The sequence below is a fragment of the Homo sapiens genome, chromosome 20, assembly GCF_000001405.40.
Source record: "Homo sapiens chromosome 20, GRCh38.p14 Primary Assembly".
Classification (NCBI taxonomy): Eukaryota; Metazoa; Chordata; class Mammalia; order Primates; family Hominidae; genus Homo; species Homo sapiens.
The window spans coordinates 47947404-47974823 of NC_000020.11; the positions used below are offsets into that span (position 1 = coordinate 47947404).

At 50.9% G+C, this 27420-nt stretch overlaps 1 long non-coding RNA gene across 6 annotated transcripts, besides 4 other annotated features; it reads left to right on the top strand.

Annotated features, from left to right (window-relative positions):
- Positions 1-3406: 3406 nt before the first annotated feature.
- LOC105372637 (uncharacterized) lies at positions 3407-13840 on the top strand. Of its 6 annotated transcripts, none has more exons than XR_936789.2 (7): positions 3407-3521; positions 4354-4442; positions 6298-6431; positions 9337-9450; positions 9585-10260; positions 10552-10733; positions 10860-11647. It is a non-coding gene; the product is annotated as an uncharacterized LOC105372637 (long non-coding RNA). The 6 variants fall into 6 exon arrangements; XR_936793.2 differs by having other exon boundaries at positions 10618-10733; XR_936790.2 differs by having other exon boundaries at positions 9585-9888; positions 10068-10733.
- Positions 3834-4393: an enhancer, noted in NCBI's record as "H3K27ac-H3K4me1 hESC enhancer chr20:46579981-46580540 (GRCh37/hg19 assembly coordinates)". NCBI's record gives its function as "activates a minimal SCP1, AML or CMV promoter by ChIP-STARR-seq in naive H9 embryonic stem cells {active_cell/tissue: H9 hESC(naive)}" and the evidence as "EXISTENCE:reporter gene assay evidence [ECO:0000049][PMID:30033119]".
- Positions 5006-5506: an enhancer, noted in NCBI's record as "H3K4me1 hESC enhancer chr20:46581153-46581653 (GRCh37/hg19 assembly coordinates)". NCBI's record gives its function as "activates a minimal SCP1, AML or CMV promoter by ChIP-STARR-seq in primed H9 embryonic stem cells {active_cell/tissue: H9 hESC(primed)}" and the evidence as "EXISTENCE:reporter gene assay evidence [ECO:0000049][PMID:30033119]".
- Positions 22776-23277: an enhancer, noted in NCBI's record as "H3K4me1 hESC enhancer chr20:46598923-46599424 (GRCh37/hg19 assembly coordinates)". NCBI's record gives its function as "activates a minimal SCP1, AML or CMV promoter by ChIP-STARR-seq in naive H9 embryonic stem cells {active_cell/tissue: H9 hESC(naive)}" and the evidence as "EXISTENCE:reporter gene assay evidence [ECO:0000049][PMID:30033119]".
- Positions 23278-23777: an enhancer, noted in NCBI's record as "H3K4me1 hESC enhancer chr20:46599425-46599924 (GRCh37/hg19 assembly coordinates)". NCBI's record gives its function as "activates a minimal SCP1, AML or CMV promoter by ChIP-STARR-seq in naive H9 embryonic stem cells {active_cell/tissue: H9 hESC(naive)}" and the evidence as "EXISTENCE:reporter gene assay evidence [ECO:0000049][PMID:30033119]".

Sequence of the window (27420 nt, forward strand, 5' to 3'; positions counted from 1 at the left end):
ACTCAACCTTTTAAATTTCATTCTATAATGCTGAACCTGAGACTTTACATTTATTCTTCATCAAGTTTGTTTCTTGCTGGGTTCCATCCACTTGGGATAGCAGCCTGGGCCCAATCAGGGGATAAAAACCACACAGTGATTTAAACAGAGAAAATGTTACGTAAGTAAATATTAAACTATGATAAAAGAATAACTGTAGAATATTTTAAAAAGTATATATGGCTCCCTAAGGCTAAGAGAATGAACCCTAGGAAGGACAAGCTTGGAAAAGGGCCCCTTCCTATGGATGGGGTTTAGAGCTTCTTGTAGAAGGTCATTTGCTGACCCCTGGCTTAGCTTATTGGTATACAGGAAGAGCACCTAACACAGTCACTAATATTCTAAAGTCATCAATCCCTTCTCTCCATCTCCACTGTTGCCATTTTGGTCCAAGCCATCATCATCTCTCAACTGACTATTGCAGTAGTCTCCTGACTAGGCTCTTGGTTTCTGTCTTGACCCTGTATTAGGTCAGGTTTCCTAGAAGCAGAGCCTATGACAGATGGCTTATGCATGTGACTTATTGAGAAGCTACTCCTGAGAGAAGGGAGTGAGGGTGCAGAATAGGTCAGGAAAAAAAAGCTAAGCAAGGAAGGAGAGTAACTTCAGCCTGGTCCCATGGAAAGCCCGGGAGCATGAACTGTACCCCAGAGGTCCCAGTCTGAGGCAGGGGGCTGGCATTTGCATCTCCATGCTAGTCATTGGCTATGGGCTGCCCTAGGATGAGCATGGGGGTTGCAGCTTATTGGACAAGGAAGTTCTCATGTGGCCTAGGGCAGTACTCTGGGGAGGGGGACACCTGTGAGCCATTTTCAGACACCACTCAAAACGGCTGGGGCAGGCCGGGCGCGGTGGCTCATGCCTGTAATCCCAGCACTTTGGGAGGCCGAGGCAGGAGGATCACCTGAAGTCAGGAGTTCAAGACCAGCCTGGCCAACAAGGTGAAACCCCGTCTCTATTAAAAATTCAAAAAATTAGCTGGGCATGGTGGCGGGTACTTGTAATCCCAGATACTTGGGAGTCGGAGGCAGGAGAATCACTTGAACCTGGGAGGGGCGGAGGTTGCAGTGAGCTGAGATTGTGCCATTGCACTCCAGCCTGGGCAACAAGAGCAAGACTCTGTCTCAAAACAAAAAACCAACATAGTTGCACATGCTCAGTAAGGGGGATCCACGCAAGGGTCTGATAGCATCCACACCCGCTCCAACCGTCTATTAATAGACAGTGGTCAAGGTGGTCCTCCTCTTCAAGTTCAGGTTCAGGTTCCAAGACAGAATGGGTCAGTCTTGTAATGGGGACTGTGAGATTTGCTGGGCTGCTGTAGGATCTGCCAAGGGACATTAGAAGAAAGGCAGGAAACCACACTGGGGTTAGAGTCCCACAGAATTTTATTTCAGCTCTGGCCCTTTCTGGCTGTGAGGTCTTGGGTGAGTGTCTTCTCTCTCTGGATGCATTTCATCACCTAAACATGGGACACCCACACCTGCCCAAGGGATTAGCTCTGGGATCATCCTCTGAAGCCCACCACTGCTGCTGCTGCTTCATGCATTGGCACTAATTTTGAATGCCTTGTTGGATGTTCACATAGGTTAAAAAGCTGCTTGAAATGATCTGAGCCCAGAACTGAAATCCATTTTACATAGAAATAATTTTTATTTTATTTTATTTTTTTTACTGTTTTAAACTGAGTTTTACCACACTGTTCCCATGGTGTAAACTACGGGAAGATTGTACTCTGTTCTTTTCAGGATTTATTCAATGTTGCTCACCTGTTTGAAAAAAATCACCTTACCAATGGCAGAGCCTCTTGTGGTGTCTGAGTTGCCCAGAACAGTACAGCTGTAGTCAGTCCGCATCTGTGACTTCGTTCACTGTGATTCTGCATCCAAGTTCAAGCATCTGATGACATAATTACACGGTCTACCTTAGTAATGCCAGGTGTATTAGTCTTCTCAGGCTGCTATGAAGAAACACCCGAGACTGGGTAATTTATAAAGGAAAGAGGCTTAACTGACTCACAGCTCTGCAGGGCTGGGGATGCCTCAGGAAACTTACAATCAAGGCGGAAGGGGAAGCAGGCTTGTCCTCCTTCACATGGTGGCAGCAAGGAGAAGTGCAGAGTGAAGTGGGGGAAAAGCCCCTTATAAAACCATCAGATTATCCTGAGAACTCATTTACTGTCACGAGAAAAGTATGGAGGTAACCACCCCCGTGATTCAGTGACCTCCCCCCAGTTCCCTTCCATGACACGTGGATATTATGGGAGCTACAGTTCAACGTGAGATTTAGGTGGGGACACAGCCAAACCATATCACTAGGGCACTTACATGTTGAACTATGTTTTGTTTTATTATAAATTCCTTTCTTTTTCTCTTTATATCCCTCTGGGGAAATTACATTGTTTAAGAAAATGCCTGTAGCTAGGTTATATTTTCTATGAATTTCATTTCAGTTGAGTAAAGGGAAAGTGATAAAGTATTTGTGTTAAAAGCCTGGCATTGACTCTGACAGAGTCGAGAATCACACATCTACAAAGAATTAGCAACATCTTCTCTTTCCATAGGAAACCCATAGCCTCACTGAGAGACACCTTGGAGCTCTTTGTTAGTTTGAGCCACATTTTACAAGGAAGGACTCTTTTCTGTCCTCTCCCAACTGCTATCCTTTGCTAGGACTCCTTAAGAGGGAGTATTTTCCCTCTTAAGGAGTCTGCTGGGGACCTGTGTAATCATTTAGCCCACATCCTGGGCCATGTCAGCTCTCCTGGAATTGTCCCTACTAGCGTTGAGTGTGGCTGTCTTACTCCCCTTTGCTGGAGGAACAGACCTGGACTTCTGCCAAACTGAGGTCCCTGCCTGGTGAGTAAGTAATTTGTTTCCTCCATAGGAGATGGAGCGACAATCAAGAAACAAACAAACACATTTTTTTTTTAAAAGGCATAAAAGCTTAGTCATGCAAATCAAGGCAGAGGAGAGAGGGTAAAGAAAATGGCCTTATTCATATTCTGCAACTTCAGCACGCCCTGGCCCATGGGCCGATTTCTATTAAAACACTCAGCCTAGAGCAGCCAACACTCCGGCTCATTAATAAAGGTTTGTCCCAAGTGGAGTAAACACCACCCGTTCCCAGGACACCCAGAAGCAGAAAATTAACCAGAGGTGAACTGGGTCATTAGCTGCTGCACAATATGGGTCATCCTAGATTAATTTAGTTCCCTTCAACTGGAGGCTCAAAGAGAGTGACCGGTTCTCATAGCGGGGAACAGTGACTTAGCAGCGTGTTGAGGTCTCTTGGATACCAGGCCAGGAGCTGCCATTATGATTCATGGCGCCTCTGACATCACTCAGTGGTTTTGTGATGCAAAGTTCACATGTCTGAGCACACATAAGGGACTCTGTGAATATGTGTGTATTTGTTGTGTGCATGCCCGCAGAATGGGATACAGAGACTCACTCTATTCATCAGGGATTTGTTTTAATCAGGTATGGTAAGACCCCCAGACACAGAAAGTACTGTCATCCGGGAAGACATTCATTACATTCTAGGTCCCGAGAAACGGGAGACATGGCATGCTCTGCGGGGCCGCACGGGGAACCCTGGGAACCCGGGAACCGTGCTCTGCGGTCCGCACGGGGAACCCGGGAACCGTGCTCTGCAGGGCCACATGGGGAACACTGGGAACCCGGGAACTGTGCTCTGCGGGGCCACACGGGGAACCTAGGAACCCGGGAACACGGGAACCGTGCTCTGCAGGGCCACATGGGGAACCTGGGGAACCGTGCTCTGCAGGGCCACACGGGGAACCCGGGGAACCGTGCTCTGCAGGGCCACACGGGGAACCCGGGGAACCGTGCTCTGCAGGGCCACACGGGGAACCTGGGAACCCGGGAACCGTGCTCTGCAGGGCCACATGGGGAACCCTGGGAACCCGGGAACCGTGCTTTGCAGGACCACATGGGGAACCCGGGAACCCGGGAACCGTGCTCTGCAGGGCCACATGGGGAACCCTGGGAACCCGGGAACCGTGCTCTGCAGGGCCACATGGGGAACGCTTCCTTTCAAGAGGAAGAGGGAGGAAGTGAGACATGAGCAAGAGACTTTATTGAGGAATGAATGGATAGGCAGTCACCAGGCTCAGGGTTGTGAGTGTGAGTCACTTCAGCAGGCTCTGGGACATAGGGGCTGTTCCTAGTTGTCTGGTACCTGGCCCTGGAGAGGGAGAGCCCAATAAAAGAGGTGGTTGGGGCGTGTGGGCTCTTGATTTGTTTTTCATTTGCAAGACATGCTCCAGATGAGTTGTTTCCTGTCTCTTAGGAATTGGCAGGCATGGGAAGAGCACGCTGTCCAGGGTCGGCAAGGCCTGGAAATGTCAGAGCATCAGAATACTGAAAATAAAAGACATGGTCAGTACTCATACATAGACATGACACACACATATACACACATACGCAGACTCACACATGTCAACAGCTGAATGAAAAATGTCTTTCATTCCTGGAAGCAGGAGTCATATCACTTTCTCCAAAGCATGTCTTTTTCTATGCAATGGTGTGCTTTAGGTGCAAGAACACTCGAGAAGCGGCAAAGATAAAGTTAAACAAATCCAAGTGTTATAATTCTGCATTATGCATATGTTTTGACTTTTCATCTTTTATTCAGAGAGTAAGATAACCAAATAGAGTAAAGGAAGCCCAGCCAACCAGCTCAGTTTCATGTGGGCAGAACCAGCAGGAAATTGAAAGGGGAGAGAAGCCCCTTGCCAAAGCCGCCTCCACTTGCACTGGGAAGCCCACCACAGGCCACCACCTGGGCTGGGAGATTTGTCAGCAGGCGTTGGCCTGTGACAGTCACACTTCCTGCTCCTCAGTCTGAGATGCCCCAACCAGATGGCGGAGGCCCGATGGGGAAGGAGCAGCCTCCACGGAGGCCCGCCTGGTTTTCCAGCCTTGGACTTGCAGCCGGGACATGAGGGCTCCCTCCTACTCTCCCACCCCTCCTGCTGGTGAAGCAAGCCCCTCCTACTCAGAAGGGAGCTTTCTCTGCCCTGGAAGATGCTTGGAAACTTGGCTTCCAGACGTGCAGGCGCCAGGGGCCTGTCCACTCCTCCTCCCCCTTCTCCTGGACTCACTGACCTTCCTTCTGTGCCACAAACAGCCAGGTTCATTCCCAACCCAGGGACCCTGTGTGACTGACCATTCTCCTCCTGGATGCTGTCCCCAGCCCTGTGCATGGCTGCCCCTTCTCACCTTTCAGGGCTCTGCCAGGTGCCACCTCCTGGGTGAGCACTTCCCTGGCCACCCTGTCCCCAGGAGCCCTCTCCACCAAGGCACTTCCTAGCATCTCACCCCATTTCCTCTTCTCAAGATCCCTCATCACCATCTGAAATGAATTTGAGCATGTGTTGACTTGGGGAACATATCTCCCCCTCCTTACCTGTGTGTGAGCTCCAAGGAAAATCAGTGTCCGACCTGACTTACGAACCTGTGTCCCCAGAGCCTACAGCGATACCCAGCCCAGAGGTGCTGGCTGCACATGATGCTGATGACTCCTAGGGTGAGCCTGGCATCTGAGTCCTGGGTTCAAGTCCTGATTCAGCTGTTCCCAGGCACCTGACTTTGGGAGAGATGCCTCCTCTCTGGGTCAAGTTTTTTTCCTTTGTGGCATGAACCTATATTCCAATATCCATCAGTCACGACTGCTGGGGCTCAAAGACCAAGGTGACATATGTCAAGGTGCTTGGCCAACTCAGAGAGTTGTGCAAAGAGAAATGACCACGTTAAGTTGCTGGCCCACGCCTGGGTAGAAGTCAGGGAATGGGCTAAGGAAGAGCATGGTGATGGCCCGCCTGGCGGAAGTCTGCAGTGTGTGGGTGTGTGTGTGCGGATGTGTTTGTGCATGCGTGTTATTAATGTTGTTTAATTGCCATTCAGGCTCCATAAATAGTAGCTAATTCTTCCTATGTGCCGAGTATATACACTCACTTAATTCTTGCAACAGCCCTGAGTGGTAGGCACTGCTGTTACCACATCATCCCCATTCTGCAAATAAGGGAACTGAGGCAAGGGAGAAGAAATGACACAATCTCCTGGACCCTCTTGATGCCATTGTGGACAACAGGCCGCCTGAACTCACGTTTCCAGGCTCTACTTGGCCATTTCTGTGACTCTAATTTCCCCAGTCAAAGCTTAAATTCATCACGCTGGTGTCCCTTGAGGATAAAAAAGTGATTAATTTTCTGCAGCTCACTTCTCTTTCTAGGTTAAATCTATTTTGGTGGCGAGGCTGGGGACACTGGGAATATGATACTGATCAATCTAGAATGTGTGGAGGAGTGGACAGCAGTTTTTAATCAGACAAGACCTTCAACCCCGGCACAGACCATCAATTGGCAGGTTCTCCTGGGACATGGACGTGGTGCATGGGGCTGCGTTCACCTGTGGTGGGGACATGTCAACTCGTTCTGGGGTTTCAGGGCTCCACTTGAACAGAACCAGTTCTCGTGACACTGTAGGCAGAAGAGAGCAGCACATGTCACATGGGGCTGGGGCTGAGGTCTTCTGAACACCCTGAAGGGGCATCTCTGGGTTTCACCTACCTGGATAGTTTCTCTCTGTTTTCCTAGTTCTTAGCGGGCTTCCCTTGTGGGAAACAACCTTCCTCCACTATGGTTTTTTTTTGTTTTTTGTTTTTTGTTTTTGAGACAGGGTCTTACTCTGTCACCCAGGCTGGAGTGCAGTGGCTAGATCAGGGCTCACTGTAGCCTCGACCTCCCAGGATCAAGCGATCCTCCCACCCCAGCCTCCCTAGTAACTGGGATTACAAGTGTGCACCACCATGCCCAGCTAATTTGGGTTTCGCCATGTTACCCAGGCTGGTCTCAAACTCCTGGGCTCAAACAACTCACCCACCTCTGCCTCCCAAAGTGCTGGGATTACAGGCATGAGTCACTGTGCCTGGTGCCCCCTTCCCCAACTCTTAATCCCCCAACTCCCCAGCTCCAAGATTGGCAAGTGACCCAGACCCAGCCAATCAAACATACTCTGTGATGGCATCAGGAGGTGGGTTCGTGAGCCCAGCTTGTCTGATCTGAGTCAGTCCCTGGACCTCTGCTGGGGAATTGGGGAAGAGGCTTCTCTTTTCTACTGACCTTGCTGGGCTGATGGGAGGATCAGGATCTGCTGGGGCATCTTTGCCACCTCATGAGAACTGTGTGACCCAGAAGGGAGCCCACCCAGGAGGACGCCAGCCTGAGAAATGGAAGAGAACCCTTCCTGATGATGTCATTTTGCACCAAGATCCAGCTGTGCCTGTAGTCAAATACTGCCGGGACATTAAGTTTCTGGAGTGAAGATATTCATGTTTTCACTCATTTAAGTTTGAGTGGGTATTCTGTCCTTTGTGATCAAGAGTGCTGCCTGATAGAGGTTGCAGTGAGCCGAGATCGTGCCACTGCACTCCACTCCAGCCTGGCGACAGAGAGAGTCTCTGTCTCAAAAAAAAAAAAAAAGTGCTGCCCGATAGATGACAGTTCCCCCTTTTTGTCTCAGTGACTTTTAGAGCTTTTGGAGGTCTCCTGTTGGGGGCCCTAGGCTGTAGGGAGGAGATTCATATTTGTCCTGTATTCTTGGGAAACCTTTGAGCTAAGATTGGACTGAAATGGCCTCAGGTGCTCTAATCAAATTGAGACCTGGTCCAATCCCTGTGGGCCCCTAAACCAAAGGTGAATAAGGTGCCTGCCTAGCAGGAGGTTGTGACCTCCAGGCTGATGGTGGGGTGAGAGCTGGGAGTCTGGATGGAGCAGATGTAGGCAGACAACAGGATGAGATTTGAAGGCCACAGCTAAGAATGACATTGAAGATCAAGACCTGTGCTGTCCTCCATGGCAGTCACTGGGCACCTGGGGTTATTTCAGTTTATATCAATGAAAACTAAATAGCTTTAAAAATTCAGTTCCTCAGTCACGCTAGCCACATTTTGAGTGCTCCATAGTCACATGTGGCTAGCGGCTGCTATATTGGACAGTGCAGACACAGAATATTTTCACCATGTGCAGAAAGTTGTACTCAACAACACGAGACAGACATATAAGGTTTTGAGTCCAGAAAACATCAAGTTGGAGAGAGGCAGTAGCAAGAAAAAAAGAGCAACAATAAGGGGGACTGTGACCAAGAGGTCCCCACTCATTCATTCCATCCTTCCTTCATTCATCTCTTCACCTCACATTGATTGAGCTCCTATCAGGCACCCTCTATGACTGCAGGCTCCAGGGAAACACAAGAGAATTACACAGATGTAGCCTCAGACCACACAGAGCTCACATTTAGTCTGAGGAGTCAGACCCTAAGGGAGGTAAATAAGTCACTAAACAAGACAATTCCAGAAAATAATAAATGCCAACATGAAAAGAGAGCAGGTAATAGGACACAGCGTCTTTGGTGGGAGGATCAGGCCTCAAGTTTGGGGAGACGTGTCATCTTTGGGCAGCTAAAAACTACAGGGCTCAGAAAACCTCAGACATACAGAAAGGAGAGGAATGCACTGCTCTATAGCCCACTCCCTGGAAGGCTGGGAAGCCCTGGTCCAGGGAAAGCACAGGGTTCTAGGAATTGGGAACGGGACCCAACCACAAGGACAGGAAGTGGACAGGGGCCTCCAGGAAGCAGAGAAGAAACGAAGCACAGAAGTGGCCATGGGGCCATCATGGAGTCTGTTTCACGGACAGAAACACAAAGGGGCTGTTAGGAACAGCCACCTCTGGCCAGCCCCGCCTGTGATTGTGACCTGACAACTCGTGGTTTGTGAAGGTTGTTTGTTTCAGAGGCATTTCGCCTCTCTGCTTTTGGAACCTCCACGAGTGGACTTTTGTCTTGGGGCTCACAGTATTTTACCCCCTTCAGGGAGGTGGCTGGTTGTAGTTTAGCAAAACAGCCACTGACATCGCTGCTCCTTCAGCCTCTGCAGACAGAGCTGCAAGATCCTCGAGGCCTTTTTAATCCCCAGAAACAAGGTTCGCAGGAGGCCAGAGCCTTTGGTGGTGGGGAGCGGAGTCAGCAGGGGGAGGGGAGAGGCCCTTCGGAGAGACTGAGCCGCCAGGCCATCGAGGGAACCTGGGCCAGGGATGAGGCACTTCAGCCCTCGGAGCAGCTGCGACAGCAGAGTCTGACCTCCCAGCAAGGGGCTCTGGCTGCGGGTTTGTTTTCTTTGAGCAAAATCTCAGAAACAAAGATGCCTGTGATGACCTCTGCACGTAGGAACTTTCCATTTCTGCATTACGCAGGGCATATGTGTGTCATTTAGGTGTTAAAACAGACCAAAATGTGTTCTCCCGCCCAGAAGCAAGCAAAGCCAACCCCAGCTGCAGTTCCCTGACAGTCCAGTGAATTCAGCCAAAGGAAATGGCCCCACATGGAGGTGGGTGAGGCCCAGGGAGGACGACTGTGGTGGGAAACTCAGCAGGCGGAAATGTTCTCTTGGTTTCTGGGCGGGCTGGAGGTTTCCCAAGGGCCGGTGAAGTTTCAGCCCTAATAGCTGCAGGATTCTCTCAGGGCAAGTGACAGAAGACCTGATGACTCCGGTGGCTCAGCGGAGAGTGCATTAATAGGCTTGACCACTTCTGCTCGATCTTCAGGCAAGCTGGGTCTGACCCCTGGACACTGTCCCCTGGAGCCCCTGGCCTCCACGTGTCCACCCACTGCCATGGTCATGGCTCCTCAGCAGGAGGAGGCCCAGCAGCCTCCAGGTGCCCCTGCCTGGTGCTAGCTGCCCACCGAAGCTCTAGCCTCACACTCTCAGGTTCAAATCCAGCGACAAGAGCGGATCCCACAAAGGCCACGAGAGTCACCCTAAACGGTCAGCTTAGGTCCTTCGTTCACTGAGCCCATCGCTGTCCAGGGCAAGTGGTGCTGGCTGGGCTAGGTCCAGCTCCCGTGTCCACCCTGGGACCTGAGGTTCAGGGTCAGCTCACCCTAGACACATGGATCGAGTGGGGAGGGTGAATCCTCAAATGCTAATCAGGTTCTGTTGTACAGAAGGGGAAGCGGAGGCAGGAGGATGCAGCAAGACCTGTTCCCTCCTCTAACGGCACTCATAGGACAGCCCAGCCACACATTCAAAGAATCTTGAAGGAATAGGATGGTTGGTATGGTTGGTGTGGAAGAAGGTTCATAAATTCTGGATTTAGCTTTGTGGGATTCAGCTGACCTGAAATTTATACCTGTGCAGGTAGGTGGTTGCTGGGTAGGGTGACCACTACTGTCTCTCTCCATCACCCAGGGCTGTTTTCAGCTCAAAGCCACAGAAGCCCAGGCATGGTGGCATCTCCGGGGGAAGTTGCCTTATTCCAGATTCACAGGTCCGGGGCGAAGGGGCCAGGCAGGGCAGGTGTGGGGCGGCAGGATATCGCCCTGGGCCTGGCTCCTTCTGCCTTTCTGCCACCATCTTCAGCGGTGCCATTACCTCGAGGCCTTCTGTGGTTGCTGGAGCTGCCACGCTCGGCCTCCTGTCTGCCTCCAGATGGGAGAGGAGGAAGGAGGAGGTGAGAGCAGGAAAGAGCTTACATAAAAGACCACATTTTCCCAGAATCCCCAGCAGCTGCCTGTTCTCCCCCTCCACTGGGCTAGAGCTGTGTCACACAGGCTGAGCGGCCAGGAAGCTGGGCACCATCCAGGGAGTGTGTGATCGTCGGGGTCCTGTTGGTAAGAAAAGGGCATGTGGGTAGACATCTGGAGTGCCTGTCATGGTCCAATTAACTGGCTAAAGGGATTGTGGGTGTGCAGCTGTTTTCAATCAAAAGTACGTAATTCACATCTTCCCAAACACAGATTCCTGCTTTTGAGTAATGAAGGTGACCAAACCACATGACCCTGTCTGCAAAGATTCCACCTGGACTCCCAGTTCCTCCAAGGAACCGTCATGTGGTTCAAATCCAATGAAATTCTCTAAATCTCCACCCTCCTCAGGGTGCAGAGTTGGCTGCTTCTCTGTGCCCCCTGCTGATCACGGCAACCCCTGGGTGCCTCGGCCTGCGAAGCCCCAGCTGTCCTCCGTCTGCAGACAAGCCGAGGTATGAAAGCCTCCTCGCTGGCCCAGGAGCCTGTCATTGTCCTCCAGCAGCTCTAGCCTGGATGCGGTCCCAGAGATAAATCATATCTCTTTAAAAAGCCACAGTGGCCCATTATTTCTGCTTGAAAATACCCCTGGCTCTCTGCTGGTGAGCTGGTTGACAGGCCCCGGCTGTTGTGCTCAGTGCTGCAAAGAGTCACGTCAGTCTGTCGACTTGTGTAGTGAGCAAGCTGGTAGCTTCAGATGGTATGCACATGAAATCCCGTCCTGGCATCCAGGACTTGGCTGGGGGTTGCAGAGAGAACCACATCTGCAAAAGAGTTGGTATTTTACAGTCCCAGCCTCACGTCCTTGTGAAATGCCCTGTTCATACTGGGCTACAGGGGCGGGAGCAAAAATGATACAATGACAATTCCTGGGCTGTGTTCTGCAATATTCTACAACACTTCCACAAGAAAACTCCAATCTTTAAAAATAGACTGAGCACAATTAAACAATCACTATAGATATTTCTTTTCTTTTTTTTTTTTTTGAGATGGAGTCTCACTCTGTCGCCCAGGCTGGAGTGCAGTGGCGCGATCTCTGCTCACTGCAAGCTCCGCCTCCCGGGTTCACGCCATTCTCCTGCCTCAGCCACCCGAGTAGCTGGGACTACAGGCGCCCACCACCACGCCCGGCTAATTTTTTTGTATTTTTAGTAGAGACGGGGTTTCACTGTGTTAGCCAGGATGGTCTCGATCTCCTGACCTCATGATCCACCCGCCTCGGCCTCCCAAAGTGCTGGGATTACAGGCGTGAGCCGCCGCGCCCGGCCCACTATAGATATTTCAACCAGAGGAATATAGTGAATCATGATCTACCCATCACCCAGGTTCAACAGCTCTCAGGGTTTGCCCCCTTCCTTCCAGCTCTTTCCCCTCTTTCTGCCAAATTATTTTAAAGCAAATCCCAGACCTCAAGTGGACATTTTCTAACAAAGTTGCAATATCCTAAACATCTCCGATGTTCAAATTCCCCCAGGTGTTGCTCAGATATTTTTTTCTGGTTGCTTTTCCAGAAATTCAACAAGGACCACACGGCATTTGGTTGTTAAGTTTCTAACTTCTCTTTGGTTGACAGTGATCCCCTCTCCTTCATTTTACTTTTAATGCCACTGCTTGTTGAATTCCTGGGAGCAGTTGCTCTGTGGGATGCCCCACATCCAGGATTTGTCAGTCTGCTGCCTCATGGTGTCATTTCAATTCCTTCTGCAGATGGATGCCGCTGGACATCCTTGCCAAGGTGTGTCAGTTTCAATTAAACCCAGAATGGGGTGTTGGAGCTCAAAGGAGCCATTGTCAAGCCATTGCCTGAGCAAAGGAAGGTGTTTTTTTTTTTTTTTCTTCCTGTCGCCCAGGCTGGAGTGCAGTGGTATGATCTCGGCTCACTGCAACCTCTGCCTCCTGGGTTCAAGCAATTCTCCTGCCTCAGCCTTTTGAGTAGCTGGGATTACAGGCATGTGCCACCATGCTCAGCTAATTTTTGTATTTTTTTAGTAGAGATGGGGTTTCACCATGTTGGTCAGGCTGGTCTCAAACTCCTGACCTCGTGATTTGCCTGCCGTGGCCTCCCAAAGTGCTGGGATTGCAGGTGTGAGCCACCGTGCCTGGCCTGTGTTTTAAGATGATTTCCTGGATTCTTGTTGAACTACCAAGGCAGGTGTTTGCTCCCAGGCTTCACCATCAAATTCCCTAACGGCTGTGTTCTGGGTTGAGTCACTTTAATGAGCTGCCCTGCCGTTCCCAGGTGAGATGTCAATTAGAATTTGCAATCCCAATACCAGGGCCACGTTCTCACCACCTGAAGAAACCCTAACAGTCGAGACAGAATGAATGAAGGACAGATCAATGGGCTGGGTCTGTACAAGCACACCCATAGGGCAACCCAAGGGCACGTTATTTTGGTCTGAGTTATCTCCTGAGTCATGGACATGAGTCTGGGAAGGTCAAGGTTCGCCTGTTATCGTTATGGAAAGACACTGACCTTATGTGCTGGGCTGTGCCGTGGGCGCCTTCTTATTACATCCTCAGAACAGCCTCAGGATGGCTCATGATTCCCTCAATCACAGATGAGGACCTGAGGCTCAGGAAAGATACATTTGCATCTTGTAGGTCTGGGTTCAGCCTGGACCCACGGTTTCCATGCTTGCCCTGACCCTTCATTCCCTCCATTCCCTCCCAGCAGCCAGTCAGTGGCTGTCCAGACATGTGCACCAGCTGTGCTGCACCTCCACCATAAAAACTCCTCCAATCACTTCCCACTGCTCCCCATGTGAACCCCAAGGGGGCTCACCCTGTCCCAGGAGGTTCTGCCTGATCCACACCCCCCACCCCTTCCTGCATCCCTGCAACCTGCTCTCCCTACGTCCTCAGTCCTGGCGTCCTCTCTGTTCCCTGGACTTGTCCAGCCCAGTCCTACCTCCAGGCCTTGGCACCTGCTGTGCCCTTGACCTGGCGTGATCTCCTGATGGCCGTTACTGGGCTGGAAACTTCTCAGTGCTCAGCTTGAGCTCAAAGCCCACCTCTTCAGAGAGGCTGTCCCCATCCACTGTGGCCTTTCTTCCCTTTGCTCTTTCAATTCCCAGTTTATTTCCTGTAGAGCAGTTTCACCCTCTTCACCAATCTTGTTTATTTCCTTGTTTATTGTGCCTCCTTTACCAGAACGTTCACCCTCTGAGGGCCTGGGCCAGGTCTGTCTGTTCACAGCTCTAGTGCTCAGAGAAGTCACTGCATAAATAAACAAATACTTTGCTCAGAAAATTGTGGATATGTAAATGAAATAGGTCTGAATAAATGAATTAAATACAAAGCATATGTGAGTCATCTTTCCCAAGTAGTCATATCATAATGTTAACAACAACAACAAAACAAGGAATGGGGGGAGAATAGAATGCCTGCCTGGGGGAAGCTGGGCTGTGTCCCTGGACTTCCATTCCAGCAGGAAGAAGTGAAAACAGACTCCAAGGATTTCCACCGGACAGTGGCATGGCCGGACACTGTTTCTATGTCTGGTCAATGGAGCAGTGCCCCATGTTATGGCTGGCACGGTGCTGCCTGCCCTCCTGGGGGCATGACGACCACGTACTGGCCCTCAGGACACGGGAAACTTTGGCTGTTTATTCTATTTATTTATTTATTTGTTTATTTATTTATTTTTGAGATAGAGTTTCACTCACTCTTTTGCCCAGGCTGGAATGCAGTGGCGTGATCTCAGCTCACCACAACCTCCAGTTCCTGGGTTCAAGTGATTCTCATGGTGCAGACTTCCAAGTAGCTGGGATTACAGGCCTGCACCACCACACCTGGCTAATTTTTGTGTTTTTAGTAGAGATGGGGTTTCACCATGTTGCTTAGACTGGTCTCAAACTCCTGGCCTCAAGTGATCCTCCTGCCTCGGCCTCCCAAAGTGCTGGGATTACAGGCATGAGCCACCGCGCCTGCCCCCCTTGCCTGTTTATCTCCTTTATTATTAAATTCCAAAGAGCTTTGGATGAATCTCTGTTTTTTAATTCTCTGTCTATCCCAGAGGATGTTTTCAGGCCTGATGGAGTCACTGAGGGACCCTGATGAGGGCTCTGAGTATCCCTGGATGGGAAGGAGACCTCTTCATCCCCAGGCACAGGGAGGCCAGCCTGTGCAGTATTTTCCTCTCCTGCATTTCAATCCAGCTAAAGGCATCCTTCACTTCCTGCTTCACTTCAGGGGTCCCCATCTCTGAAGCCAGATTCACCTGAGGCAGCTTCTTCCTTGTGACCTGACATCGCTTTTATGATGTTTTTATTCCAGAACCACCTGAGAGAGGAAAGAGAACTGGTTATAAAAAGGAACTGCTTCTCTTAATGACTCTTAAACTCCAGAGCGACCTGCCCAAGGGCAGGGAGCAGTGGGGCCCGGGGGGGTTTCTGAAAGCAGGGGCCATCCATCACCTGGCCCCGCCTCTGGCTATGTGCTGCCTTCTGCAGACCTCATCACTGCTGTGCTCTGTGGCATTTAATCAATGGCCTTTCTAGGGGTTCTGAGTGATGCTGTCTCTTGTCAGATGAGAATCCACCTGCAGCTGCCTCTGGAAGGAGTGTTCCAAAAGAGGGGGGTCCCAGCTTCTCCCTCTGCTGGGAGGGGGGAGGTCACAGGAGATGCTTTGGCCCCTGGGCAGCCCTTGGGGTTCCTGAAACTCCACAGGGGCAGTGACAACATGGAACATGCTGCGGACCAGGCTCCTCCAGGCTCAGCCCCAGAGGTGGGACAGAAGAGATGCCCAGAGCTCTGGGCCCCTGTGAGACCCAGCTCCCTTGTCCGCTTACAGCCGTGGCTCTGCCATCACCTACCTGGAACCTGGCAGCCTGTTCTCATCTCCCCTCTATCCCTGGTCATGTCAGCAGCCAAGAGGCCCAGGACCCAAGTCCTCCCTCATCCCCACTCCAATCTCCCCCAGCTCTGAGGCATGAGGAACCCCCCAACTCTTCCTGATCCCCTTGCCCCCCTCCTACTCCCTGAGCCTGGGGTCCCCTTACTATCCTCCCTCCCTTCTTTTCCCCACAGCATGGCTACCCTTGCACACGCTCGGTTTCTTGCTCATTTATTTATCTGAGTTCTAGAACGCATGCTCTGGGCAGCAAGAGCTTTTGTCTGCAGATTTTTATCTCATGTAAAACAGGCCATGGCTCTGGAGAGGGAGAAGTGCCATGGCTGGCCACTGGAGAAGTGGCTCAGGGCCAGAGGCACCTGCGTTGGGGGAACAGTGAAGGCTGTGGGGACGGGAGACCAGAGCTCAAGTGCTGCCTGCCTTTAACTTTCTGGACAGGCCATGGGAGAGGCTAGGCGGGGCTCCGTTTCCAAGTGTGGCGAGGAAGTCACTTGTCACCAGGGTTCCCTGCAATTGAGCTGCCCATTAATGCATAAGGATGTCAGCTCCTGCAAGCCTGTGAAATAAGTGCCAGGCCAGGGCTTTGAACTCCTGAGCAGCAAGGTGATTTGTATGTGCAGAGACCACTCACGAGGAGGCCCTTCAATACAAGTGTCCCCCTATAATCCGGGTTTCTCTCCAGTTTCAGTTCCTGAGCAGGTAAGCCAATTTCAAAATAATTTTTCCATAAGGTGATTATGAGGCATCGGTGCCATGGAGGTGTGGCTGACACCTCTGCCCTGGTTGCATCCTGCATCCCTGAAGCTCTGTGCTGTGACTCAGTGAGGTAATTGTCTCTGTACCCCCATCACTACCCAGTGGATGCAGCCAGGGGCATGGTTTTCTCCCTTAGTTTACAATGAGATTAAAGGGGACGTTCAACACTCCTGACTTTAAAGAGACAGATATATGCTTTTCTTTTTCTTTTTTTCCTTTTTTCTCTTTTCCTGTTCCTCCTTCTTCCCTGTCTCTGGAAATCTCTACATAAAAGGGTGCTCACTAAGGTGCTATTTTCTTTTTCTTTTTCTTTTTTCTTTTCTTCTTCTTTTTTTTTTTTTTTGAAACAGAGTTTCACTCTTGTTGCCCAGGCTAGAGTGTAATGGTGCAAACTTGGCTCACTGCAACTTCCGCCTCCCGGATTCAAGAGAGTCTCCTGCCTCAGTAAGGTGCTATTTTCTAACAGCAAAATGCTGGGAACGATCAAGATGGGGAAATGGGAGAAGAAAGCACGATATAATGATTCAGTAGACTATTACACAGACATTCAGAATAGCTCCATGTAGACCAGGAAGTAGTATGAACTCAAGTGAAAACTGTAAAACAGCATGAAATGCATTTTGTTAAGTAAGAAATAGTATAATGTGATAAGAGGTACACCAATCAGGAGGCTAAGTTGAGGCCCTGCTGTGCACCTAACGGCAAGGACGTGCTTGAAGACAATGCTTCTCACACGTTAATGTGCTCACAAACCACCTGGGGGGTTTGTTAAAATTGAGATTTCTATTCAGTAGGACCTGGATGGGCCCTGAAATTCCGTAATTTTTAGCAATCATCTAGGTGATGGCTGCTGGTTTGCAGACCACACTTCAAGAAGCAAGACCTTAATAATATATTTTGACTTTGAACCTTCATAATAATCCTTAAAACTGAGTAAAACTGGTTCAGAGAAGGTCAATGACCTCCCCAGATAGTGGCCTCTCAGGTAAGTGACACTGTCATGTGAGTGACGTCCTCAGGTGAGTGATGTCCCCGGACTCACACGGCAGGGACATGGTGGAGTCAGGATTTGAACACAGATACCCAATTCCAAAGCTCCTAGTCTCAAACACATTGGCTGTAGCTGCAACTACATGAGTGATTTTTCTTTTTCTGTAAAGTCTGTTTTTCATCGTCTCATTAATTAAAAATTGATTATAAGATTGTAAAAAATTAATGAGATGTTGTCCCCTCCAATAATCTCTGAGGGGGATGATGAAAATCACTTTTTTTTTGAGACAGAGTCTTGCTCCGTCGCCCAGGCTGGAGTGCAGTGGCGTGATCTCAGCTCACTGCAACCTCCGCCTCCTAGGTTCAAGCGATTCTCCTGCCTCAGCCTCCTGAGTAGCTGGGATTACAGGTGTTTGCCACCACGCCCAGCTAATTTTTGTGTTTTTAGTAGAGACGGGGTTTCCCCACGTTGGTCAGTCTGGTCTGGAACTCCTGACCTTGTGATACGCCCACCTCGGCCTCCCAAAGTGGGATTACAGGCGTGAGCCACTGTGCCTGGCATTCATTTTTTTTTTTTTTAGACGGAGTCTCGCTCTGTCACCTAGGCTGGAGTGCAAGGTGCGGTGGCATGATCTCGGCTCACTGCAACCTCCGCCTCCTGGGTTAAAGCAATTCTCCCACCTCAGCCTCCCAAGTAACTGGGATTACAGGCACCCACTACCACACCGGGCTAATTTTTTTATTTTTGTAGAGATGGGATTTCACCATGTTGGGCAAACTGGTCTTGAACTCCTGACTTCAAGTGATCCACCCGCCTTGGCCTCCCAAAGTGCTGGGATTACATGTGTGAACCACCGTGCCCAGCCTGAAAATCACTTTTGTATGACACTGTTCTGAATGGATTGACGGAAGTAAGTCAATGTGAAAGAGGCTTTGGAAGGACGGCAGATGCCGAGTGTTTATTGCTTAAGTTCTCACTCTCCATGGCTCAGCACAAAACAAAAGATGTTTTACAGTGGCCTAAAATTGCAGTTGCTTTTGCCATGAAAATTCAACACAGCATCTTTGCTGTAAGAGTGACACAGACTTGAAGGGTCTGCTGTTACCGTGATGAACATTTTCAACCAGGTGAGACGCTGAGAGTGAGAAATCTCACCTGGACAGTGACACAAAGCCCTCCCAAGCTACACTCTCTGAGTGGCTCCTGCCTTTTGCACCCTTGAACGTGGCCATGCACAGAAAAATCCCAATTTGGGATGCATCTCCCACAGCCGTGCTTCAAGTAACCTGGAGATTGCATGTCAGTCCATGTGTCCTTGTCTTAATAGAAATTAGAAGAGAAGAAAAACAAAAGCCCCAGCCTCGTGAGAGAGTCTATAGGGAGTAGGGATAGAATAAAAGGTAAGTTAATCCATTCTCCATTTCTGCTCCTTTTTAAGATTTTTTGTTGGTATGGAAATTTGTGCTTAGAAAAACACTGCAGATCTGTACCCAAGTGATATGATCGAATAAAAATAATCTTCAAAAAAGTCATCGAATTTAGCAGAGAAAAGCAAAAATACCAGATAGTCAAAATAGTAAAGTCACTCTCCAATTTACAATCAGGACTGTATCCAGATATTTGGAACAGAGGAGGTTTTCTCGCTGAGTGGTCTGCAATGGCTAATGTTTGCCACCTCATTTTGGGCGTGCAGATACAGACTTTGCTTCATTTTGGGCGTGCAGATACAGAATTTGCTTCATTTTGGGTTTGCAGATACAGACTTTGCTTCATTTTGGGTGTGCAGATACAGACTTTGCATTGACAGATGAAGCTCAGGTTGTCTTGTCACAGGTGGTCTCTTAGATCATGTTAACCTAAAAACAGGAGCAATCAGGGATAGAAAGTCCAGCCCTGTGATCCAGGCTCACGACTTCTTCCCAGGCCTCACTTTGCTCAGGGGTTACACTAAGGGGCTGCACTAGATGACCTCTAGGGTCTCTCGTCTGACTCTGAAGTTTAGATGTAAAGAACCAGGTTGGCTGTAAGAAGATGCGTATTGCACACAAAGAGCCAGCCAGGGAAGGTCTTGGCTTAATAATCTACCCCTTACTATCATGCGACACGAGAGCCAGAATCAGATAGAGAGCTATGGTTGCAGGGAATGGAAAACTCAGTGCAAACAGGTGTGAGCAGGAGGGAGCTTCATGGGCTCCAGCCTTCAAAAATCCCAGAGATAAACAGCATCAGGAATGATTGGATCAGGCTGTGGCTCAGTTTCCCTGAAGTTCTCTTGGTTCTTTCCTCTCTCACGGGTCATGATTTCAGACTGTCCTCTCTCATGGGTCATGATTTCAGACTGTCCTCTCTCATGGGTCATGATTTCAGACTGGCTTTTCTTGTGGTAGCAGAGAAGGCTGCAGTGGTTCTAAGAGCTGCATCCCATCCACCTTGTCCAGAGCAAACCATGGAAAAGCCAGGGCTCCCAGGCAACATCTTACCTTTCACTGGCCCACCTGGGCCAGGTGCCCATTCTTGAATCAGTCAAGGTCAGAGAGTGGGAAGAGCTGACTGCATCAGGCCAATCACAGCCCACTGCTGGGGCTGGGGGCAGGGACAGGGCCATGGGCTACTGTGCTGGGAGATTTGGGGTCAGGTGAAGAAGGGCCTGGTGAATTGTTGCTGTAATCCTTCAGTAGGAACCCATTGCAGGGAGAAAGTCACTCCATCTTCTTTGGCAAAAGAGAAACAATCATACTCCTCTTCTTCCAACCTTGCTGCATTGTCATAAGGATGGAAACAGGTCATGAGAGGCAAAGCTTTGGTATGAGCAAAGCCCTGAATAACTGTTAGCAGGAGGGGCAGGCATTGTAGCTATTTCTGATCTCGTTATTAAGGGACTAAAATTTGTTTACTGTAAAGTTGGTTCTTTCAGGATGATGCAGTGCCTACTGTCAAATATCTCAATCAAAAAAATTAAAAATTATGTTACTTTATGGTGAAATCTGTATTGCATGAAATTGATTTTTAAATTAAAATTAATTTTCACGACACAAGTAATATATCATGTATTTCCCTGTAAGAAAACCAAGACATTAAAGATAAGCTCAAGTCCCCATTTACCTTCCCCAGTCTACCACCCCCCTAAATTCTCAGAAAGGGACATTTGACCTGAGATCGCCTCCTCTGGAGTGCTCATCAGTGAAGACCCAGCAGATCCCCAGTCAGTGCTTGAATTCCTTTAGGTATGAATGGAGTTGAGTTCATCCTGAGAAAGACCCCTGAAGGCCAGGCTGAAGTCAGGTGCATGGAGGTCCCCAGAGAATAGCAGATTCATTCTATCCATGTCCATGCAGCAGCTGTTGGGTGTGAGTTGGCCGTGGGGAGGCAGGATGTGTCCTCTTTGCAGAGTGGTGGGAGCTGGCACACACCGGGCACTATTCCCCGTGCCCTGTATCTATGATCTCACTCAGTCCTCACACCAACCCCATGAGATACGGCACTATTACTAAGCTCCCCATGCTGCAGATGGGGAAGCTGAGGCAGAGTGGTCAAGGCACTTGCTCAGGGGGCAGTGCTGGGACTTGAGCCTGGGCAGTTTAGCTCCAGGGACTATGTTCTTAACCACTAGGCCATGTGGGCTCAATCTGTGTTAAATCTGGTTGGGAGGCAAGAGTCCCAAGTGAGAGAACTATACACCATCAACACCAGTACCAACACATACATACACTCATACCTCCCCTGCCCCCCTCCCCCCCCCCCCCCACACACACACAGACCCACACAGGCATGGGTGGCTGGAATACTGGGGCAAATCCATGAATGTTTCACAATTCCATCTTCAGATTCCCTGTGCATCCAGAATTAACCTTCCCGTCACTCCGCTTAACCCCACCTGTGAGTCTCAAGTCCCCTTCACAGCTGACAATGGAAACCCACAGACAGGACTGGCCAGACCTAGTGGAAGGGGCAGGGCCATCCCTCTGGGCTCAGGGTTCCACTTGGTGGAGGCTGGACCGTCTCTTCTCAGCGTGTGCTCACAGCGGGACCTGCTGTCTCTTTCTGAGGGGACACAACCCCCATCATATGTCCCCCGGGCCGCGATGGTGGGGTCAGGACTGAGCATGCCCCGTGCCCACCCCCACGCTCAGCCCGAGTCAAAGCCTTCGAGGCTCTCCAGTGTCATCTGCACAGGACCCAGGTGCCATCGCCCCCAGGACTCTCAGAAACTCAGGGCGGTCCCCGAGCAGCTCACATCTCCTGGGGCTGAGCATCCGCAGATGCTGTAGGAAGGAGGCGACTGGGTGAGGGGAAGGATCGGGAAGCAGAGTTTGGCCAAGGCTTTGTCGGAGCCACTGGTCCCACGCGCACGGAGCTCTAAGCAGTTCCTGCCTCTCTGAGACGGGGACGGGACAGGCCCCCCATCAACCTCTCGCTCTCTGGGCTTCGGTTATAAATCACCCCACAGGGGTAGAAACCACCCAGAAAGCCGGGAGCTGCTCCAGGAGCTTACGACTGGGGTGGGCTAATCTGCAGAGTGGTCAACCATGTGCTCATGGCCCTGGAGTCCCTGTGACCAGCCCTGGAGACGTCACCTCAGAGGGAGGGCGCTTTGCCCGCTTCCTTCACCGTTGGGGCCGGGACCTGAAACTTGGGCACAGAGTAAATCTCAGTAGGTATCTGTTGAGTGATTCGGAGCCCACCTGTCCCACATACACCACGAGGAGGCCTCCAGGGTGTCCACAAAGGAGGCGGCTGGGCTGGGGAAGAAATGCAAGAATTCCTGCCTGGACAGGTTTCATCTACATAGAAAGAGGAGATTCACTCCCGAAAGCTATTTGTCAGGGTCTACCCTAGCCACAATGATGCCTGACAGCCTGGAGGTGTGACCAGATTTGCTGGGGGGAGACGGACATGGTTTTGACAGGGGCAGGGCCAAAGTGGGGCAGGGCCAAACAAGGCAGGGGCCAGGGTCATGCAGGGGCGTAGCCAGGATGGGGGTGTGGCCAGAATGAAGGCGGGGCCACTGTGGAGAGGGGCCATGGTGGGGGCTGAACCTTGCTGCAGGTTGTAGAAGCGCTGAGCCCATATAAAGGATCTGCTAGCCCTTGACCTTCCCCAGGTGTCTCATATTCCCATCACTGATGGTTCATTCTCCCATCTCCCATTGCGCTGGCTGCTTTTCATTGAAGTTGTGACAACTGTCATACTAACTCATTCCTTTGGAAAAGGCTACTGAAAAGGTGCCACCCTGGAGATGCTACTCAGGAGAATAACCCTGCTGGTGACTGCTTTCACCTTCTGCCCCTGAAAGGGCTTGACTGTGGGGGGTCTGAGCTACCCTACAAACATCGTCATATCCGAGGGAACGCAACATTGAGTAGCAAATAATAAACACCATGACAGGTCAAGAGACAGACTGCAGAAAGAAAGCAAAAGCTTTCTTATTTTAGTACCTATAATGACATTTTGTTCTTGCTTTTGAGCATGTGGCCTACATTTTCATTTTGCACAGGCTGTGAAAATTATGTACTTGGATCTGCTGGGAGAATGTAATAAATCTACTAAGAGTCACCCTCATCCTCTCTGTCCCGCTCTCCTGTGTCTCTCAGAGTCAGCAGAGGGCCTTGTCAGAGCACAGTCCTCCCGCAGTCTTCCTCATCTCTGTAAATCGCAGCCCCACCCTCCCAGCTCTCAGGCCAACACCTGGGAGTCATCCTCCACTCTTCCCTGCCTTCCACACTCCGCTTCTCATCCATCAGCAAGTCCTGGCAGCTCTACCTGCAAGGGATCTGCAGTATTGGACTCCCTCACCTCCTCCACTTTGACCACATGGCTCCGGTCACCATCACCTCCACCTGGCCTCCCTGTTGGTCTTGCTGCTCCAGCTGTTGCCCCACACCCCCAACCTGTCCTCAGACACAGAATCCCATTAAAAAGTAAACCAGACCACATCCTGTCTCTGCTCAAACCCTCCAATGGCTCCCACTTCCCTCAGAGTAAAAGCTGAAGTCTTCACAGGGTCGCCTAAGGCCTGAGATGACCCATCTCTCTCTCTGCCCCACTGTGACTCATCACCCCTCTGGCCTCATCTTCTAACACCCCTTGGCCCCAGCCACACGGGGCTCCTGGCTGCTCCTCAGCCTCATCCCTCCCCTCGTGTCTCTGGACTCTGTCCTCGCTATCCCCTCTCCTGCATCGCTCTGCCCCCAGGCCCCAGGCAGCTCCCACACCTCCTTCCAGGGCCCAGAATTTACACCAGATACACAGTTTTCTGCACATTTGAACGAATGAACAAAAGAAGGAATGAGCACATGCTTCCTCAGCGGGGAATACTGCTCCCAAGAGGGCCAGAGCTGGTTCCTGGAGGTGAAAAGATTTTTCTCTCATTATGTAAAAATACAGATGTAGGCACAGTGCATAAACCATTTTGCGGTATTTCTGTAGTATTAAATTCATGGTGGGGGTGAGTAAGAAAAAAACCTCTATGAAGGTTCCTTAGGGGTTGATCATGAATTAAAGGTGAGAAAGGCTGAATTAGAGGACAGTCCGCTGAAATCACAGGCTTCTCTCCCACACATTGCCAGGGCATTGGGGAGGCTGTGGAAGACAAATCAAGATCCGTGCAAGTGCCTGAAAGAGTCACAGCCATTCTTCCTGGCGTTTAATAGAAGGAATGCCTCGGTGCTTTGGGGAAACCTTTTTTTATTTCCTGCCAAGGGACAGAATTACAAAGGATGATATTTGCATTTTCCTGAAGCCTCTAATTTTCCCATTCATCACTTGTCAGAACCTGAGGCCCTTCCTCAGCTTATGGAATGTTTGCAAACACGTAATGATCCCTTTTACCAAAGAACGTCACAGGCTCCACATGGAAATGTGTTTGTGTTGCAGAGGCTGCTAATTTAATGCATTAATGTCACTCTGCACCATGGCGGGGTCTCAGGGCATCTCATGTCACCGTGAGCGAGCTGGTCTAAGACACAGGAACCATGGAAACCATCCCATGCCTGGTTAGTGAGTAGATGCGCAGTGGGGCGCCGTTCACTGCCTTGAGGGTGAATGTGGACTCCAGGAGCGAGGGCCAGGCCTTCTAGAGCTCCACCCACCCTGAGATCACAGGCCTGGCTCAGGCTTGCTGGACTTGCCCAATGGGGAACTTTCAGGGGACAGTTTAACCATCCTGAGGGGCAGACAGACCAGGGAGAGGCCAAAGGCACCCGTGGGGTTCCCCCAGGACCGCCATGAATCCCCTTCTCCTCCCTCTCTCCATCAGTGCCTCTGTCCTTCCCACCTGCCCAGCCCAGGTGCCAAACACCGGCCTCATCCGAAAAGTCCAACTGGGCCCAGGACAGTGATTCCCAGACCCAGCTGATCCCGCAGGGAGCTTTGGGTCCTGCTGGTCCCTGGGTTCTGGTGACAAAAGGACATGCAGGAAGGCAAAGTCCCCTCTGGATTTTTCATCATGAGCCACCCTAGGTGCTGCGCACCGCCAGGCTGCCTGATTCCACCAAGAGAATCTCAGGAAATGAAAAATAAGATTTTAGTTGTTAAATTTCAGGCGTCGGGGCTCTTTGAGAGATTGAAAACACCTGGAGGTTGGGTGCACAATGGAGATGGGGCTGTGGGGACGTTTCCTATTCCCAGTGGAATCCGTGATTATTTACCGAGCAGCCTGGAGAAGCCCAGTCTTCACGGAATGGAAAAGCTGAGCCGGGTTTTCATGCACAAACCGGAAGCCGGGTGGCGCCCTCACAGCAGAGCTCCTGACCTTCCTGCCTCGCACGTCCTGGCAGCGGGAGGGCGGCTGCCTTGGACACAGTTTATTGTGTGGCGAGGAGGGAGACAGGAGAGTACGGGGCAAAAAAACCCCAACAAATGGCTACGCCTTAAAAACTTACTTTCAAATGCCCAGTTCACGCAGTTTTCTGGCATTTTACCAAATCAGGCAGGTTTTTTTTTTGGCTTTTCCCACCGTGTGACTCGGTCTGCCTTGCCCTGCCCCACCCCTGCTTGGGCAATCGTGCCCCCCGCTGAGCTCAGCAGCCTGGCGTGAGGTGAGGTGTCTGTGTGGCTGCTGTTAGCAAATCCACCATTCCGGGGGCTTCCCTGGATGGTGATGTGGCTGTTCCCCAACTTGCTCCTGGCCCAGTGACCCGTGGTGGCTGTAGGAGCCGCTGCAGGGTTCGGGCAGCAGTAGTGAAGGGCTTTGCTGCTCTCTGCAGTTTCGATGTCGCCCTCATTGTCCATTTCCTCAGCCTAAGGAGACCCGGTGGCCTGATGGACTTGGCTTCGTTCCTTCTTTCAGCTCAGGGGGACGTGCATTTTTCCTCCTTTGAGTCGAATTAGCAATGAACTTCCCCTCCCCAGATGGACAGCGTGGCATCGTCAGGGCCCAGCTGCAGCTTTCCGGGCCAACGGGTCTTCGTGCATTGTCTGATTTGGTTCTGACAAGCATGCGAGGCCGTGCGGTGGTCATTATACCCACTTTACAGATGAGAAAACACAAGGTAAGGAACTCGCCCGAGGTCACAGGGATGGCTGGATGTAAAACAGACTCCTGCGTGTACAGATATAGAGATTGATAAGAAGAGAATTTCAAATCTCAGCCAAAGCGAAGGTCAAGTCAATGCTCTTGGGGACGTTCCCTTCACTCCCCAGAACGTTCCAACATGGCCAGTGAAGACACTGTGTCCCCGTAACCCTGGGGGAGAAGAGGACGGGGTTAATGAAAAGTAGAAAGTTTCCTCTTTCCCACTGTTGGAGATGCCGGCGTCCCCACATCACCGTCGGCGCTGCATCTGGTCCACTTCTGGGACCCATTTGGGTCCCTGGGCCGGGGCTTCCTGTGGATGAGCCGGGATCACACAGCGATGTGGGGTTGCTCAGGGCGCCCCGTTCACTCCAGAGTGACCCCTGACCCAAAGCCAGTGCTGGGTGTTTGCGGAAACTGAAACCAGGGCAGGTCTGAGTCAGACCCTGCAGAACAATGAGGCCTTTTGTGCAAATGAGGCGGGGGAGGGGCCGGGGGAGACCAGGAGCTTCCTGACGGGGTCCGCAGCACAGGTCACAGCGAGTGAATTCAGGAGGTGACCCTCGAAGGTCAGGTCACAGCCGAGCAGCACAGGCGCTGAGCTAAGTGTCCACAAAGGAGACGAACAAAGCGGCTGCTGTGGGAACAGAGTCAGTGTCGGTCAATGCTGAGTCCAGGAGCTCGGGCCTGCCGGTCGGCGACGGGGGCTTCATGCTGGCTCCCCCAACAGTCAGGAGGGCCATGTGCTGAGGAGGGAGGGTCCTCAGCGTCCCCAGGATTGCTGGTGGGTTCACCTAGTGGAATCGCAGGGGTGAATCCACTAGTTGAGATATTTTTCTCCAATGGATATTGAAGTGAATAAATAACTATTGATATAAAAATATACTTCCCATATTTACTTGTAAGTAAATTCATCAGACCCCAAAATACCCATGACTTCACGAGCCAGAGGTTTGCTTCTATCCCATGTGACAGCCCCGGCGTGGGGGCCCCCTGGCTGGTTGGGCAGCTCCCGGGGCTGAGCCTCGACACTCCAGTCCTGTGATCTGTCATTGACAAAGGCTGTTTTTGTCTACCTGGTCCGAGGAGGTGCAAGTCACATCAGACAGGAGGGAAGAGGAGAAGGGCAAGTGGAGCGTACCCATTCATTTAAGGGTACACTGGGAAGGTACACACCAGCTGCAAGGCAGAATGGGAAATTCAGCTTTGGTCCGGGCAGCTAAACTTTGGGATTTCCAATGTGAAATGTAGGGGATGAGGGGTATCAAGGGTCAGCCCGCAGCCTCTGCCCCCTCTATGTGCTCCTGGAAGTCATCTACTCTCCTACCAGGGGATCCCACCAGGGCATCCCACATTTTGTGAAAATTAGCTGATTAGGAGAGCATCCTTTCTGCACTACTGTGGAGGGGGTGGGGGCTTAGGCATGAGCAGTTCCCTAAGTCATGGTACAGGGCCTCCCCCATCTTGGGAGAGCAAAGGCTGTCTACTGTGTCCACCAACCCTGAGGCACACCCACACAGCTTTCCTGCTGCCTGTGCTGAGCCAGGCACTGTGCTTGAGATGTGCACGGTATTTGACATAGAGTCGGGGTGGGTGGTGCCCAGACTCCCAAGTCACTCCACGGTGAGACAGATTCACAGGGCTCCAAGGACAAGTCAAA